Source organism: Homo sapiens, chromosome 22 (assembly GCF_000001405.40).
Source record: "Homo sapiens chromosome 22, GRCh38.p14 Primary Assembly".
In the NCBI taxonomy this organism is placed as follows: domain Eukaryota; kingdom Metazoa; phylum Chordata; class Mammalia; order Primates; family Hominidae; genus Homo; species Homo sapiens.
Genome location: NC_000022.11, coordinates 22,870,830 through 22,886,743, shown reverse-complemented (window position 1 = coordinate 22,886,743; position 15,914 = coordinate 22,870,830). Strand labels below are relative to the sequence as shown.

The window sequence follows — 15,914 nt, the reverse complement described above, 5'->3', positions numbered from 1 at the left end:
GGGTCTAGGTGGTAACACACTGCTTGGTGCATGGGAAAACCCAGAGCTTGGCACAAAGGAGTGGCTCAATTAAACATGGACTAAATCTGGTTGAATAAACCTCTTTTGCTTCATGTGACCCCTTGTGTCATTTGCACTCCTTTACGCCCCATTCATCGCTCCCATCTTTTCTGTTGCCCTGAGAGCCTAGTATAAAAATGTTTGAGGAGATCTTCAGGACCCCATACTCTGGTGAGAAAGGCCCCTGCTCTGCCCCCTTACATTACAGAACTGCAATGAGGGTCTGCCCTCTTGCTTTCCAGTTTCTTTTTCTGCCACAAAATCTTTAAAAATATCTGCTCAAGTTCAGATCTGCAGCCCTCTAGGACTCTCAATGTTTTGTTTTAGCAACTCTCAGAGGAGCCTCCTAGGACTTCCTAAAGTGAATTTCCTGGGAGGCTCCTTTGAGAATTGCTTGGTTCACATTTTGTGTCAGATACTCCTTAACTTCCTTGATACATTTGGTGACAATCAAGCCAGACATTTTTGTGGGCTATGGTAACAGACAAATAGCCTGAGACTTCATTTCATTGATAAAGTTGATGGTTGTTGGGAGACAGTGGTCTACTATGGATCTCTGCATTTCTGCATGTCTCTCGGGCAAAGGCACTGATTGTGGATTATCTTTTCAAGAGTGTTTGTGGAGTGAACAACCTCGGAAGGTACAGAGAATGCCTCTCTTTGGAGCAAAACACAGATATATGCTTACTGTCAAGTATGAAATATTTGGGATCCCTGAGCTCTGGCATGCAGATGTCACCTGGCCCTCTTTGCATCACCTTGTGGAACTGGTGCAAGACAATGCTGATACCTTGGCAACTGCTATTGCTGTGAAAAACAGATTATTCGTTGTCTCTGACCCAGGAGTCTTGTATCTTCTGCCAGCATCCATGGCACTGTGGCAGGCTTACTTTTTAGTCTGCAAATAGGATGAAGTCTCAGACTCTTAACAGTTCTTGAAGGTGATGATAATGAGGAGGAGGAGGAAGAAAGAGATGAAGTTGAGGATGGTGATCATGACTTAATGGTTCGACTCATCGAATCGGTTTTCAAAGATCTCCAGGCTGGATCTTTATACACATTGCTTGGGTAACTTTTGAGGACCAGGTGCTGGGGGCTGGATTATACAAATAATCACCACACATCCCTGTCCTTCAAAATAGGCAAGGCACTGAGCAGTAACAGGGTGTAGGTGCCCTAACAGACATCATTCAGGGCACAAGGGAGGGCCCTGGGAAACCCCTGGTCCAGCACAGCTTCTCCACTGGGGAGCTTGGCCTATTCCTGCCTCTGATCTTGGGCTCCTTGGATATTCGGGGCTGGGGCAGGGTCTGCCCTGGGAGTCTAGGCTGAAGCTGCTCCCTTCCAGCCCCTCTGTGGGTATGACACTCACCCACTGCTCAGGACCCAGAAGCTGTGGTTCCTTTCAGGGACAGTCCCAGGTCTTGGGGATAAAAAGGGGCTGTCCCTAAATGTAGCATCCCCAGCTGCTGCCCCTACCCCCACCCTTGCACCTGCCATGGCCTCTGGATAGACATCGTCACCGCAGACCACATCCTTCCATGGTGGCTGCAGTCGGAAATCCGAGTCTGTCTGGGGACCCTGGAGGACTGGACTAGGCCTCCCCAGCAGGTGCAGCTGCAGCTCTGGCCACCCAGGCCTATCCCCTGCCCTGAGATGTGCAAGGGCTGGATCCAGGCCTGGGCAGAAGCAGCCAAGTCCAGCTGTCCTGTTTGGCAGACCCCCTGCTGAGGGTCTGTGGTGCCTCTGCAGAGCTCTCTGGGTCCCGCCCTGGCCCTTCTCTCCCAAAGCAGAGGGATGTACCCCATCCAGTTGCTTCTGCCCTGCTCCATGTCTGAGGGTATCCCCCACCTTGGCCTTCTGCTGGTCAGTCCCCTGCCCAGTCTCCATCCCCCAGGTCCCAGAAACTCCACCTGCAGGCACTGCAGACTCCTCTCCCCCAGGTCCAGGGGTCCCCAGCTCCCCACTCCCCACCATCCCTAAATTCAAGCTGGCTGGTCTTTCTTGTCTCATCTTGAGCTTCTCACTCTTGGGATCTGGGGGAGTCTGAGGCACAGGATGACAAAGTATTGGCTGGGGATATGACAAAGGTTCTGGATCTCTGAGTCCCCAGAGTTAGAAGCTGGCTCTGCAGCTCCTGATCCCCCTCTGAGGAGTCCTCAGGAACCCCAAAGACCCCAGCTCCTCTGGTGATCCTGGGTTGCAGCCTCCACCCCAGCTCTCCTCCAGGAAATGGAAGAGATCCCTGCTCCCTTTGTAGATGTCACAGAGTGGACTTGCCAACCTGGCAGGGAGGTCTTCTAGCTACTTCTACCAGTGTGGAAACACAGTCTCAGAGAGGGAGAGTTTCTTGCCCAAGGCACACAGCGACTTGGTGTAAAGACTGTGTCTTGGGACTTACTAATAGCAATCAAAGACCTGGAGGACCAGCCTTTTTGGACATGAGGTGGAGCCAGCCTGGAACTGGAGGGTGGAGTTTTGGGAGGTTTCTGTTCTTTAACCTCCACCAGCTGCCTGGAGTGCAGCTGTAAGGGGAGAATCCAGTAGGGGGCAGAAGAGACCAGCAGTAGAGGAAGCCTGAGGAGGAACTGGCTGGAGCTCTTCAGAAGAGAAAGGCCAAGACCCAGGGGAGGGCTCTGGTGGCCGGGCAGAAGGCGGTGCAGGGGCCTGACTCTGGTTTTGCATCCCTGTGGGTACTCACTCACCTGTGGGACTGTGGGTAGGACCAAGAACAAAACCACTGAGGTGAGTGAGTCAGATCCTGAAATTTTGTTCATTGTGGGTTTGTTGGGCATTAATTTTGATTTTTGAAAATATTGCATTAAGTATTATTTATCTGGGTCACTAGGTTTTTGGATGCTCCTTTAATTTTTGCATTCGAGGTGAGTGATGGCTGTCACTTGGAACTCCAGGAAACCAGTCTCTGGAGACATGCACATAGAGGCTATATATCTGACATACAATCGTAGAGCCGAGTCTCGGCTTGAGAATATAATACCTCTAGCAGTGAAGGAGCCAACTGTCCCACTCAACACTGTGTCCCCAGTCACCTGGCTTGGCACCTGGCACATATTGGGTCCTCCATGAATATTTCTTGACCAAATGAATAAATGGACCAGGATTCAACACCAGGCCTCTTTGACCAGAACCTCTTCCGTCTACACCCAGGGACCTCCAGCTTGGGAAGACCCTCAGGGTTGGACTCACTCACACCTCAGAGGACCACCAGCTCTTCCCTCTGCCACCTCCTAGGGAAGGGGCTACAGAGCATCAACTCACTGTGACATCACCTACCCAATACAGGCCCCGAGGCCTGAAATCTAGGTGACACTTAGAACCTCCTCTGTCTAGGACTCTCTCCCCTGCCTGGTACGAGGAGTACTCCAGGCACACCAACCACTGGTGTCTGGAGAGGCGAATCTCTGTTTTTGTTGTCCCTGAAGTCGTTTTTCACAACTGGAAACATCTTCTGTCTGGACCGAGCAATAAGACCGCTGAAGCCACTCTGACCCCCGCTTAAGGGGTCCCTAGGAACCTTGAAGACCCCAGCTCCTCTGATGATCCTGGGTTGCAGCCTCCACCCCAGCTCTCCTCCAGGAAATAGGAGAGGTTCCTGCTCCCTCTGTAGATGTCATGGACTGGCCCACCTGACAGGGGGTCTTCCCACTACTGAGGAGGAAACAGAGGCAGAGAGAGAGAGGGAGAGGGAGGGGGAGGGGGAGGGGGGGAGAGAGAGAGAGAGAGAGAGAGAGAGAAAGGGAGAGAGAGGGTGAGAGAGGGTGTTCCAGGGCCCTTACCGCAGCCCTGGAAAATGCCTGTCGCTGCTTCCAGTGGGCAGACTAGGAAGCTGAGGCCCAGGGAGTTTAGAAGCAACCCTAGTGGGAGTGAATGGGCCAGGGGAACTAGGATTCCAGACTCCCAGCCTGGATGTTGGAGTTGGCCAAGGAGATGCAGCCAAGTGGGCTTGAAGGCCAGCTTGAAGGCCATATGCCCAACAGCCTAGGTCACTGTGGGCTGGTTTCCCACCCGTCATCTCTGAGGGTGATTGGGATCTCTACAAATATGAGACACAGGGACTGGCCTGGTTCTGTAGGGAAGGTTCTGCAGCTGGTGGGACGGAAGCTTCTGCCCAAGTCTCTGGGCCTGGGCTGCTCTGCAGAGGCTGGGCATGGAGCAGGGGGAGGAGCCAGGGTGAGCACAGGGAGGGCCTTGGGGCAGGGAGGAGACAGGAGATGAGGAAGCAATGATGGTTCTGGGGAGTGGAGGGGAAGCCCCAGTAGAGGGAGGAGGAGCCTGGAGATGCTGCTGGGAAGGACTGGACCAGACTTCCATCCCTCTAACCTCTGCCCAGCCCAAGCAGCAGGTAGCCCTGGGAGGCCAGTTCCCCATGACTGCCCCCCAACACCGCTTGGGGGACCCTCATGTGGTCATTTCCATCACAAGAGGAATGACCCCTGTGGGACTGGGCCAGCTGAGCCCGCATCTCTCATCTCTGCTTATGGATTTGTTTGTGTCTAGGGATTTAATAAACTCCTTTCTCTTCCGTTGTCACTTTTCAGCCTGCAATGAATGTTTGTGCTGAGGACCGAGACCAGCTGTGTCAATGTTAACTGCTGGTTCCAGGATACTCTTTCCCAGGTGGATGAGGGTGAAAACAATAAAGAATGTCACTCATTGCTTCAGGGAATTCCTGAAAACCAATTATCCAGGTAAGTGTTCTGCTCAAGAGAGCACACAGTTCTCACCTATGTAAATTGCTCACTTATCCAATAAATATTTACTGATCAAGACTTGATTCAGGACCTTCCCTTCTCTGTGTCCACCAGGCTGTGCTATGATGTCACAGATGGGCCCCAATTCTAGTAGGTTCCTTCCTTGTAAGACCTGCCTTTAACTGCTCACGTGCATATCCTGAAACCTCATAAACACTTTCCATTGCCCTGTGCCTTCTGAGACACTAAAATGATTCCACCCTAGGGCTAGTCTCCCTTGATACTAATAGAGTCGGTGCTACTTAGATATCAGGGTTTCTGGGGTCTTTTGGGAGCTGGCATTTGATCATCAAAATGACTAGCTCAGTTTATTCTGGGATAAGCTGAGCCTAGAGGTGGGCAGGAACTTGCTCCCGTCTCTCAGGAACATAAGGGCAGGGATAGGACTGGAAACTTCCATTCCACATGGAAGGCTCCCTCCTGCTCAGTGTGACAGGGCAGGAGAGAGGGAAGGGTCTTGTGAGCCAGGCCGAGGTGGCTGGTTTCTGTCTCACTTCCGCATCTGCCTGTGTCACTGTGTGCAGTGCTGCTGTCCCACGCCTGACAGTAATAGTCAGCCTCATCCATAGCCTGGGTCCCGCTGATGGTCAGAGTGGCTGTGTTCCCAGAGTTGGAGCCAGAGAATCGCTCAGGGATCCCTGAGGGCCGCTTGCTATCTTGATAGATGACCAGCACAGGGGACTGGCCTGGCTTCTGCTGATACCAGCAAGCATATTTATCCCCCAATTTATCTCCAGAGCAGGTGATGCTGGCTGTCTGTCCTGGGGACACGGACACTGAGGGTGGCTGAGTCAGCTCATAGGAGGCCACGGATCCTACAGGAGAGAAAACGGGAGAGAAAAGGCTTGAAACTGAGGAGCTGAACTCCAAGTAAATCTTCCCACGTGCCTGGCCTGGACACAGATCCAGGGATGAAAGAGCCCTAAGGCAGTGTGAGCACATGAGCACTGTGTGGGGGGATTTCAGCCCCGCCGAGCCCATCCACCTGCAGCAGGGTCATGAGCATCCTGCCCACCACAGGCGGGGGCCCTGCTGAGCTCAGAGTCAGGGCCAGGCTGGACCCAGAGCCCTGGGACTGGACCAGTGGCTAGGACCCTAGGGGCAGCACCTGTGCAGTAAGCAAGGACGCCGAGGAAGAGAGGGATCCATGCCATGGCTGAGGCACCTCCGATGCTGCTTCCTGAGGCCCAGGCTGGGCAGGTTCTTCCAGGCCTCTCTTATCCCCTTGCTGGAAAGAGCGGCCCGTGATGCAAATCAGCAGTCAGGGGCTGCTGCAGGAGGAGCTGTGTGGTTTCCAGAGAAGGGCTCAGCCCCAAGGGACAGAGAGAGAGGGGGCCCCTAAAGACCCACCCTCAGCACACAGAATTCTCATTCTCCTTCTGGTCCCATCATCTGGGTTGACATCGTCACTGTAGGTTGTGTTATGGCCTCACTCCTGAGCTGATCTGGCCATGCAGAACTCTGAGAGGAATTCTTTGTGCGTTTTCCAGGTAGTATGATGTCCTGCCCATGTGGCCATTCCTTGTCCTGCGTGGAGATGGCCAGGGACTGACTTACAATGGCGACTGAGGGATTATTCTGAGATCTAAGGTACTTCCTCTGTTGAATACTGGCTCAGAATAACTTGGGTAATTGAGGACTCCAGGGGTGTCCTGTCCCTAAATATTTTGTGGCAAAATCCAGAAGTTAGGTGTGGTTCTAGCTCCCCCTCTGGAGGGCACTTTTCAACCCAGTGCAGTGACCCTCATGACCCCACTCTACAGGTGACACCGTAAGGCTGGCACACATGCAGGGACCTGCCATTGCTTCTGAGTGGTGCTTTCCACAATCAAACTTCACCCTTGTCATGTGCACACGGAGTGTTGAAAGACTCAGGAGATGCTGTAAGTTCCTGGCCTTGGCTGTGAGCTCCTAGGGTAGGGCACAGGTGCTGTGCCTATGTACCCCCAGTATGTGGTCATGGTCAGGTACAGCTTAGATGCTGAAAGAAAACTTTGCTGTGTAGCAGAATGAGGGGGCTCTCAGAGCAAACAGGAGGGTGATGAAACACATGTGCCCACAGGGGAGGATGGCGTTTGTGGCAATGACAGCGTTTTAGCACAGAAGAGTGGGCCAGTGTGTAGGGGGAAGCAAAGTGTCTGCACCTGTGTCAAATATGCAACATTGGCCAGAGACAAAGCTGAGAAACACAAAGCCTGGAGAATTTGTACTCGATGTTAAGGATGATGCTGTAGAAAAACGACACCTTTCTAGATCTCAGGTTGTGGTCACTGACCCTCCCTGCATGTCAGCATCTCCTTGTCACCCAGGTCTACCCTACCTCCAAGTGACTTTGCCAGGTGACTCTGTTCTGTCCCCTGGTGGCTGCTCCATACTGGCTGCTGGAGGCTCAAGGGCCTCCTGGATCCGGGTGTATAATTAAAATCTTCTGTTCAGGTCCCTGATTCCCTGGTCTGCAGACTGCTGGTGCCAATGGAGGAAATTTTTCTCTTCTCTTTGTGACTCATGCCTGCCTCAATACCAGGTGCGAGGGGTGCAGATTACTCATGACAATATGAACATGAATATTTGGAAGAGGAGGAGGAAGGTCCATCTGAGGCTGCCTGCACATGTGTCTGGGCGGTGGGTGGTCATGGGGGTAATACCAGGGCTTGGCATGCAGGGCGGGGATCACAGGACTCAGGGACTGGCTCTTACTGGTCCCCGCTGTGGATGCAGGACCAGCGTACAGTGGTGACTCCTGCACCAAAGTCAGAGACAGAAGAACATCCACCCATCAAATGTTAATCCAGACCCACTGTGGTCTGGGACACGTTCCATGCGGTGAATTCAGCAGGAACAAGACACAGCCTTCTTGAAGTGAGTTGTTCATCGTGCTGGTTTGGCTGTGCAGGAAAACTGGGTTTGCAGACCCAGCAGACAGTCCCTGTCACCTTCCACCTGAGCACTGTCTTCTATATTCACCGAAAAGACTGGTGCCTGTGATTCCCAGGTCCTGCTCAGCTGGGATTGACCATGTGACTCAGGCCTGATCAGTGGGGTGTGAGATCAGTGGGTGAAATTCTTCTTAGGAAAGCTTTGCTCTTGTGAAAGAGCACTAGATTCATGAGGCCCTTTTCTCCTTGAATATGGGAGTGATAGCTGGAGCTGCAGCAGCCACCCTGAGGTCACACATCAGCAGGGATGAAAATAAAGCCAATATCATAGGGATGGTGGGACAAAAAGTGAGAAAGACCCTGGTGTCTTCGTGAAAGTGGTGGGTATTATTGCAGCGAGAAATACACCCTTAGCTGTTTGTGTCTGTTTTTTATGTGTGATTCTGTGGTAAAAAAGCATCCATGACCAATTAAGTAAATATTTAACACCAATCAATTAATAAAATTAACAATAGGCAAAGATTCCTACAGTTGTAAATGCTATGGGGATAATTAAAAAGATTTAGGCAGAAAATAACAGACAGGTTGTATTATAAGAGCCTGGGGACATCTTAATGGGGAAGTGTCTCTGGAACTGCTGTCAGGACTGACAGAGAAAAATGAGTCCTGGGATTTGTGTTGGAAACAGTGGAGTCAGGCCCCTGTGGAAAGAGTCTGGCATGTGTGAGGACCTGAGAGGTCAGCGGCAAACCTGAAAGGGGTCCTGGATTCAGGCCATTTCGGCTAATTGTGCCATTTTAATAAATTAGTAATTTGGGGGCAGGAGTCATGTGTGGTCAGGTGTGGTGAAGGGAAATTTACAGGTAATTAATCAAGTTCTTTGGCAGCTGCTTAGCACATATAGGGGCTTCCAGGATGGTGCTGCTGGGGCAGTGACAGGAGAGTCCCCGGTGGGTTGAGCCCAGCCCACTGACCCCTCCCTAGTTCACCTGGGGCTGAAGACACTCAGGGGAGTGGTTCCTGGTTTCTTACCTCCACCTGGTGCCCACCATGCTGCTCTGTGGGGACCCCCACTGCTGTCTGTGTTTCTGGTCCTGGGCTCGCTGTCTTGAATTCCATGTGGGTGACCAGCACTGCTTTCCCTAAAATTCTACAGATACAGGACCTAGGAACACAAAATCTGCAAACTGCACTTAACACAAAAGGGAAGGGGCTGAGATGGGGAGGAACAATTCCAAGGTCACTTGGCAAGGAGAGAGAAAAGGAAGACGAGAAATGCTCTGGACCTGTAACAGTAAGTCTTCTGAGTGTCCTGGGACCAGCCTGCCAGGGAGGGCATGGGAAAATCCTCAGCCCAAATTCTCAGCCCAAATCCCTCCCTATGGAGACGGCATCTCAGTCAGCTCTTTTAGCTGCCTGTAGGGGGCGCGCCTGCCACACTCTGGGTTGAAAGGGAGAGAAAAGACGGTTGATTCCCAGCTCAGGAACCAAGCTGTCTAGAGACATTTTCTTTTCTTTTTTTTTTTTAATTTATTATTATTATACTTTAAGTTTTAGGGTACATGTGCACAATGTGCAGGTTAGTTACATATGTATACATGTGCCATGCTGGTGCGCTGCACCCACTAACTCGTCATCTAGCATTAGATATATCTCCCAATGCTATCCCTCGCCCCTCCCCCCACCCCACAACAGTCCCCAGAGTGTGATGTTCCCCTTCCTGTGTCCATGTGTTCTCATTGTTCAATTCCCACCTATGAGTGAGAATATGCGGTGTTTGGTTTTTTGTTCTTGCGATAGTTTACTGAGAATGATGATTTCCAATTTCATCCATGTCCCTACAAAGGACATGAACTCATCATTTTTTATGGCTGCATAGTATTCCATGGTGTATATGTGCCACATTTTCTTAATCCAGTCTATCATTGTTGGACATTTGGGTTGGTTCCAAGTCTTTGCTATTGTGAATAATGCCACAATAAACATACATGTGCATGTGTCTTTACAGCAGCATGATTTATAGTCGTTTGGGTATATACCCAGTAATGGGATGGCTGGGTCAAATGGTATTTTTAGTTCTAGATCCCTGAGGAATCGCCACACTGACTTCCACAATGGTTGAACTAGTTTACAGTCCCACCAACAGTGTAAAAGTGTTCCTATTTCTCCACATCCTGTCCAGCACCTGTTGTTTCCTGACTTTTTAATGATCGCCATTCTAACTGGTGTGAGATGGTATCTCATTGTGGCTTTGATTTGCATTTCTCTGTTGGCCAGTGATGGTGAGCATTTTTTCATGTGTTTTTTGGCTGCATAAATGTCTTCTTTTGAGAAGTGGCCAGCATATAAACAGAACCAAAGACAAAAACCACATGATTATCGCAATAGATGCAGAAAAGGCCTTTGACAAAATTCAACAACACTTCATGCTAAAAACTCTCAATAAATTAGGTATTGATGGGACGTATCTCAAAATAATAAGAGCTATCTACGACAAACCCACAGCCAATATCATACTGAATGGGCAAAAACTGGAAGCATTCCCTTTGAAAACTGACACAAGACAGGGATGCCCTCTCTCACCACTCCTATTCAATATAGTGTTGGAAGTTCTGGCCAGGGCAATCAGGCAGGAGAAAGAAATAAAGGGTATTCAGTTAGAAAAAGAGGAAGTCAAATTGTCCCTGTTTGCAGACAACATGATTGTATATCTAGAAAACCCCATTGTCTCAGCCCAAAATCTCCTTAAGCTGATAAGCAACTTCAGCAAAATCTCAGGATACAACATCAATGTACAAAAATCACAAGCATTCTTATACACCAACAACAGACAGACAAAGAGCCAAATCATGAGTGAACTCTCATTCACAACTGCTTCAAAGAGAATAAAATACCTAGGAATCTAACTTACAAGGGATGTGAAGGACCTCTTCAAGGAGAACTACAAACCTTCCTGTAGTCCCAGAAACTCAGTAGGCTGAGCTGGAAGGATCTTCTTGCTCTTTATTTTATATTTGTCCCATATGTTCGTTAGTTTTCTTTCCCTTTTGCTGTCTCCTTTTTTGATTGATTTTTTAAATTATCTTTTTATTTCCTTGCTGGGTTAAGTGATAGTTAATTTTAAGTGTTAGATTGGGTAGGCTATGCACCAGATTGATTTTATCAAATACCAGTATAGGAGTTGACATGAAGATAACTTTCAGATGTGATGAACATTTTAATTAGTAAACTTTGTATAAGCAGATTTCTCTTCACAATGTGGGTGGGACTCTTTAGTGAGCTGAATGTTTTTAGAACAAATGTGGAGGTTTCCTGAAGTGCTGCCTTGCTAAATTTGGATGCAGGACTGCAACATCAACTCTTACTTGAATTTCCAGCCTTCAGCCTGACCAACATATTTCATCCTTGTCAGCTACCACAAATATATGATCCAATTCCTCAAAATTAGTTTCTCTCTTGTTCTTTTTCTCTCACCATATACACACATATATATACTATACACATATGTATATATACACACATATATATACTATACACATATGTATATATACACACATATATATACTATACACATATGTATATATACACACATATATATACTATACACATATGTATATATACACACATATGTATACTATACACATGTATATATACACACATATGTATACTATACACATGTATATATATACACACATATATATACTATACACATATGTATATATATACACACACGTATAACATACATGCATATCTGATTTATGTTGTTTCTGTGGAGAATCCTAATACAGCTTACTAGTCATAATTCTTTTATAAAAAAGTTTAATGTTTACTTTAGGCTTTGTGATACATATATCACTTATTAAAATCTGTCTTCAAATGTGATTATATATTCAAATGGAGTTGCATTATCTGATATTTGTGTGAATTCATATTTCAATTTGGTATGATTTTCCCCCTGTCTAGGGGTGTCTTTTGTCATTTCTAATGACAAGAGTGATAGTAATCAATTCTGTAAGTTTTTATATGTCTGAAAACATTATATTTATCCTCCACTTTTGAAAGTTATTATTGTTGGATAAAGAATTTAAGGTTGACAGCTGTTTTCTTTCAGTATTTTAAAATTATTGCTCCACTGTCTTCTTGCTTACATTGCTTCTAATGAGAAATGTACTCTTAGAATCATACTTTTAAGTGGCTCTTCATCACCAGATTTTACTAATTTGACTATTATGTCATTTGGAGTCATTTGCTTCATGATTCCTGTGCTTCAGTTTTGTTGAACTTCTTGGATATACCAGTTTTTGGTTTTTACCAAATGTGGAGCACATTTGACTATTATTTATTCAAATATTCTTTTCTACCCACCCATACCTTTTACATTCCATGGATGTCAATTATACATACTTAGGTTGTTGTATTAAAAAAAATTTTTTTTTAGGCCAGGTGCAGCGGCTCACCCCTGTAATCTCAACACTTTGGGAGGCTGAGGCTGGAGGATTGCTTGAGTCCAGGAGTTCGAGACAAGCCTAGGTAACATAAGGAGACCCAGTCTCTCCAGAAAAAACAAAAATTAGCTGGGCATGGTGGTGCACGCCAGTATTCGCAGCTACTTGGGAGGCTGAGCTGGGAGGATCACTTGGGCCTGGGAAGTCAGTGCTGCAGTGATCCATGATTGCACCACTGCACTCCAGCCTGAATGACAGATTGAGACCCTATATTAGAGACAGGAACTTGCTCTGTTGCCCAGGCTGCAGTCCAGTGGCATGATCATAGCTCACTCACTGCAGTCTTGAATTTCTGGGCTCTACCAATCTTACTGCCTCAGGTTTATAAGTAGGTACGACTACAGGTGCAAGCCACGAAGCCCAGTTAATTTTTAAGTTTTTTTTTTTTTTTTAAATTATAGAGCTATGTTGCCTAGTCTGGTCTTGAATTCCTAGTCTTAAAAGATCCTCCCTCCTAGACCTCCCAAAGTGCTGGGATTATAGGCGTGAACCATTACTCCTAGTCAACCTCAGGCTGTTTGAAGTTGTCCTATAACTCACCTTCATTTTCTTTATGAATATCCGATAATGCTTTTTCATTTTTGTCATTGTTTTTTCTTTATGTGCTGCATTTTGAATATTTTCTAGTGCTACATGATCAAGTTTGCTAATCTTTTGTTTTACATAATCTAATCTGTTGTTAATCACATCCAGTATGTTTTTAAAGTGACAGACATTGCAATTATTAGCTGTACACAAGCTCAATTAGTCCTTTTTTGGTTATTCTGTGCTTCTACTTAACATGTTCAATCATTCCTCTACTTCATGAAAAATTGGAACATGATGATATTTAATAGTTGTGTATCCACCCCTGATTTACCATCTAATGAACCTGCCTGGAGGACTGGAGGGAAGGGCAGCCTGGGGGTCTCAAATCTGAATGAACTGGGCCAGACCTGCTGATGGCTGTGACCACAGTCCTCTTGGGGTTGAAGGGAGAGAATGACATAGATGGGAAGGGGTTTGCATCTCACTTCACTGTATGCTGTGTCACTGTGAGATGAGAAGCAGTGCTGTTCCGAGCGACAGTAATAGCCTTGTTTCCATCCTGTGCCCCATTAATAATCAAGGTGGCCATGTCCTCTGATATGCAGTCAGAAAATTGCTCAGGAATCACTGAGGGCTGGTTGCTGTCACCATAAATTACCAGCACAGGGACCTGACCTGGCTTCTGCTGGTACGAGTTTGTATCAGAGTCACCTATGCTATCTCCCTGGCAGATGATCCTGGCCGTACGTCCCAAAGCCACAGACACTGCAGGCAGCTGAGTCAGCTCAGAGGAGGCCACACAGCCTGCAAGAGGAGACAGGAGACGTGAGACTGAGAATTAGGGTCTCATTCCCATAGCCCCACACCCTGCATCACTCCCTGCACTGAGCTCAAGGTCAGGGCCAGGCTGACCCCTGGTTCCATGGGGCTTATTCCCTGGGAGGAAGCACCTATGCAGAGAGTCGGGAGGGTGAGCAGGGGAGGGTCCAGGCCATGGTGGAGATGCCCCAGAGCTCTGCCTCTGATTCCACAACTAGACAGTGGGTTTCCAGGACTCTTAGAAAGGGAAGGCTCTTCATGGAAATCAACTTCTCTTCCTGCTGTGGCCTTGTTGGGTGGCTCCTTGGTGAGCAGAGAAGGACGAGGGCTTAATTGAGTGTATAAAAATATGCCCTGTCTCCATGTCTGTACCCAGTGTCCTCAGACACTCTCTGGTGTTGAGTGAGGAAGTGCTGCCCACACCATATGCACACACACACTTCATGTCTTAGGTATTCATAGGTGTAGGCAAGAACTCAGATATCTTCTCTGTTGATGTGAATATCCATGGGGAAGGAAGTTCCAACATAAATCCTTCTTGACGTGTTCTCATCGTGGACCTTAAAGATTCTTAGGCTCTCACAGCCCTGTCTTGATCATCCAGCAGCTGGTCTGGGTAATGGAGTTGAGTTGGTCTTGAACAGGAGATTGTAGGAACAGGGGACATGCTGGGGGAGGTCAGAATTCCATGATGAGACTCAGTGAAATTGCTCCTAGCATCTTGGAGATTGTAGTTTTTATATTTTAAAAAATGTAAAAATTGAACTCTCATAAATGATGGCTGACAGGTCAAGATCCATGTCCTTTCCTGGGGCAGAGCCTGGTAATAGAGCACAGGGCACAATGAGACACTGGGACACGGTCATCTCATCCTAGCCACTCTCTCAAGGTCCTTTTCCTGCCTGGGCTGCTCTGGTCTCTCCCAGCATGGTCCCCACAGGCTGTTGTGGAGGAAACAGAAAGATGAGTTTTCAAAATGGCCTCAGTCATGGCCTGCATCTGCTTCTGCCTAGGGGTGTCTTGGAGGGAGGAGAGTCAGAGGTCTCAGGGTACTGGAGAGGAACCCAGGGCTGTTGACTCTGAGTCCCTGAGGAGAAAGGGGAGGTGGGAGGTTTTGGCCTCACTTCCCCTTCATCTGTGTCACTGTGGCTCAACCGACTTGGCCATCAATCGTGTGGCTCTCTCCACAGTGATACTCAGCCTCATCGTCAGACTGGAGGTTGGAGAAGGTGAGGTAGCGGTCAGCCCCAGAACTGGAGCCCATGAAGCGATCGGGGATCCCGTCCCCCTTGCTGTGGCTGCCATCACTCTTAACCTTCATTATATACTGGGGGGACCTCCCTGGTCTCTGTTGATACCATTCGATGGTGTAGGTGCTGTGCTCACTGCTTAGGGTGCAGGTGAGCTTGATCGAGGCTCCCAGCAAGGCAGATGCAGACGGGGGCTGAGTCAGCACAGGCAGAGCACAGAGACCTGTAAACAGAATGTCATGAATGATGCTGAATGCACAGAAGAACTGGAAAGAATGCCCCTGAGGACTGGTGCTCATGGGAAAATAGCAGTGAAAACATTTCCCTGAATTCCCTGGGATGTTCTGACCTGTGGAGAAAATGAAGGGCAGTAGGTAGAAGGAGACCCAGGCCATGGTTGGAGGGACTTCCAAGAGCTCTATTCGAGACTGCCCAGTGGAACCTGGACACTATGAGCTCCTGTCTTATCCTCTTCTTGAAGCTCAAGAAGGGAGGAGCTTTGAATGCAAATCTGCTCTCCACTTTACAGCATGTCTGTCTGAGGTACTGTCTGAGCTCTGAGTCTGAGGGCTTCATATTGGCAATTTCTCAAGGTCAGAAGAAGGGCCAGGTGGGTGTCATGAGTGGAGCATGAATTTTACCCAATAGAAGGGGCCTCAGAGGAAGCATCAGTCATGCCCTTTGTGCTTGAGCCCTACCAGGGAAGTCACTGGGGTCCTCAAAACAAGGCCCTCTAGTGCACACAGGAGGAAAGTCATCCTCCACGAGCTTAAGCAGAATGACTCCTTTGAGACATTAATACGTGCCAGGCCCTTTGGAGAGTGTTTTGCAGGCACCACCTCAACCACACATTCACAGTAGCCCCACAGCAAGCATACGCTTAAGACACGACCTCTCCTTTAGTTTATTGATGGGAGAACCAACATCAGGAGGTTACAAGATTTATCAAATCCTCCCAGAGAGTAGTGAGTGGAGTCAGGATTTCACCCATACTCAGAGCCTGACCTTACAGCTCCTCCCTGCCCTGCCTCCTACCCCATGCCTCCTCATCTTCTCTTCCCTCATCCAGGACCCGGAACCCACTTATCACAGCCCTGCATTTTT

At 48.2% G+C, this 15,914-nt stretch overlaps 2 long non-coding RNA genes, 1 other non-coding gene, 1 pseudogene, 2 gene segments (V, D, J or C) and 1 further gene; 2 read left to right on the top strand and 5 right to left on the bottom strand.

Annotated features, from left to right (window-relative positions):
* IGL (immunoglobulin lambda locus) overlaps nt 1-15,914 on the bottom strand; it is an 896,838-nt gene that overhangs the window by 36,170 nt on the left and 844,754 nt on the right.
* Nucleotides 365-477, bottom strand: MIR5571 (microRNA 5571). Its single transcript, NR_049835.1, has one exon. It is a non-coding gene; the product is annotated as a microRNA 5571 (primary transcript).
* LOC105372948 (uncharacterized) overlaps nt 2,145-15,914 on the top strand; it is a 63,619-nt gene continuing 49,849 nt past the window's right edge. Inside the window, exons 1-2 of one of the 2 annotated variants that reach the window (XR_938047.2) lie at nt 2,145-2,805; nt 4,620-4,769. This is a non-coding gene — a long non-coding RNA (uncharacterized LOC105372948). Of the gene's footprint in view, nt 2,806-4,315; nt 4,424-4,619; nt 4,770-15,914 lie in introns of those variants that run through there. The other variant, XR_001755438.2, reaches the window with a different exon arrangement.
* On the bottom strand, nt 5,352-5,832 carry IGLV3-1 (immunoglobulin lambda variable 3-1). The segment is given in 2 exon segments: nt 5,352-5,647; nt 5,781-5,832. Coding segments are annotated over 2 exon segments (348 nt in total).
* On the top strand, nt 5,619-9,248 carry LOC102724638 (uncharacterized). 3 transcript variants are annotated; one of them, XR_938046.4, is made up of 5 exons: nt 5,619-5,702; nt 6,323-6,422; nt 7,269-7,356; nt 7,551-7,691; nt 8,865-9,248. It is a non-coding gene; the product is annotated as an uncharacterized LOC102724638 (long non-coding RNA). The 3 variants fall into 3 exon arrangements; XR_001755434.3 differs by lacking the exon at nt 8,865-9,248 and having other exon boundaries at nt 5,643-5,764; nt 7,551-8,230; XR_001755436.2 differs by lacking the exons at nt 7,269-7,356; nt 7,551-7,691; nt 8,865-9,248 and adding an exon at nt 6,596-6,830 and having other exon boundaries at nt 5,643-5,764.
* Nucleotides 13,251-13,736, bottom strand: IGLV3-2 (immunoglobulin lambda variable 3-2 (pseudogene); annotated as a pseudogene). The gene is given in 2 exon segments: nt 13,251-13,545; nt 13,692-13,736. Coding segments are annotated over 2 exon segments (340 nt in total).
* On the bottom strand, nt 14,709-15,205 carry IGLV4-3 (immunoglobulin lambda variable 4-3). The segment is given in 2 exon segments: nt 14,709-15,033; nt 15,160-15,205. Coding segments are annotated over 2 exon segments (371 nt in total).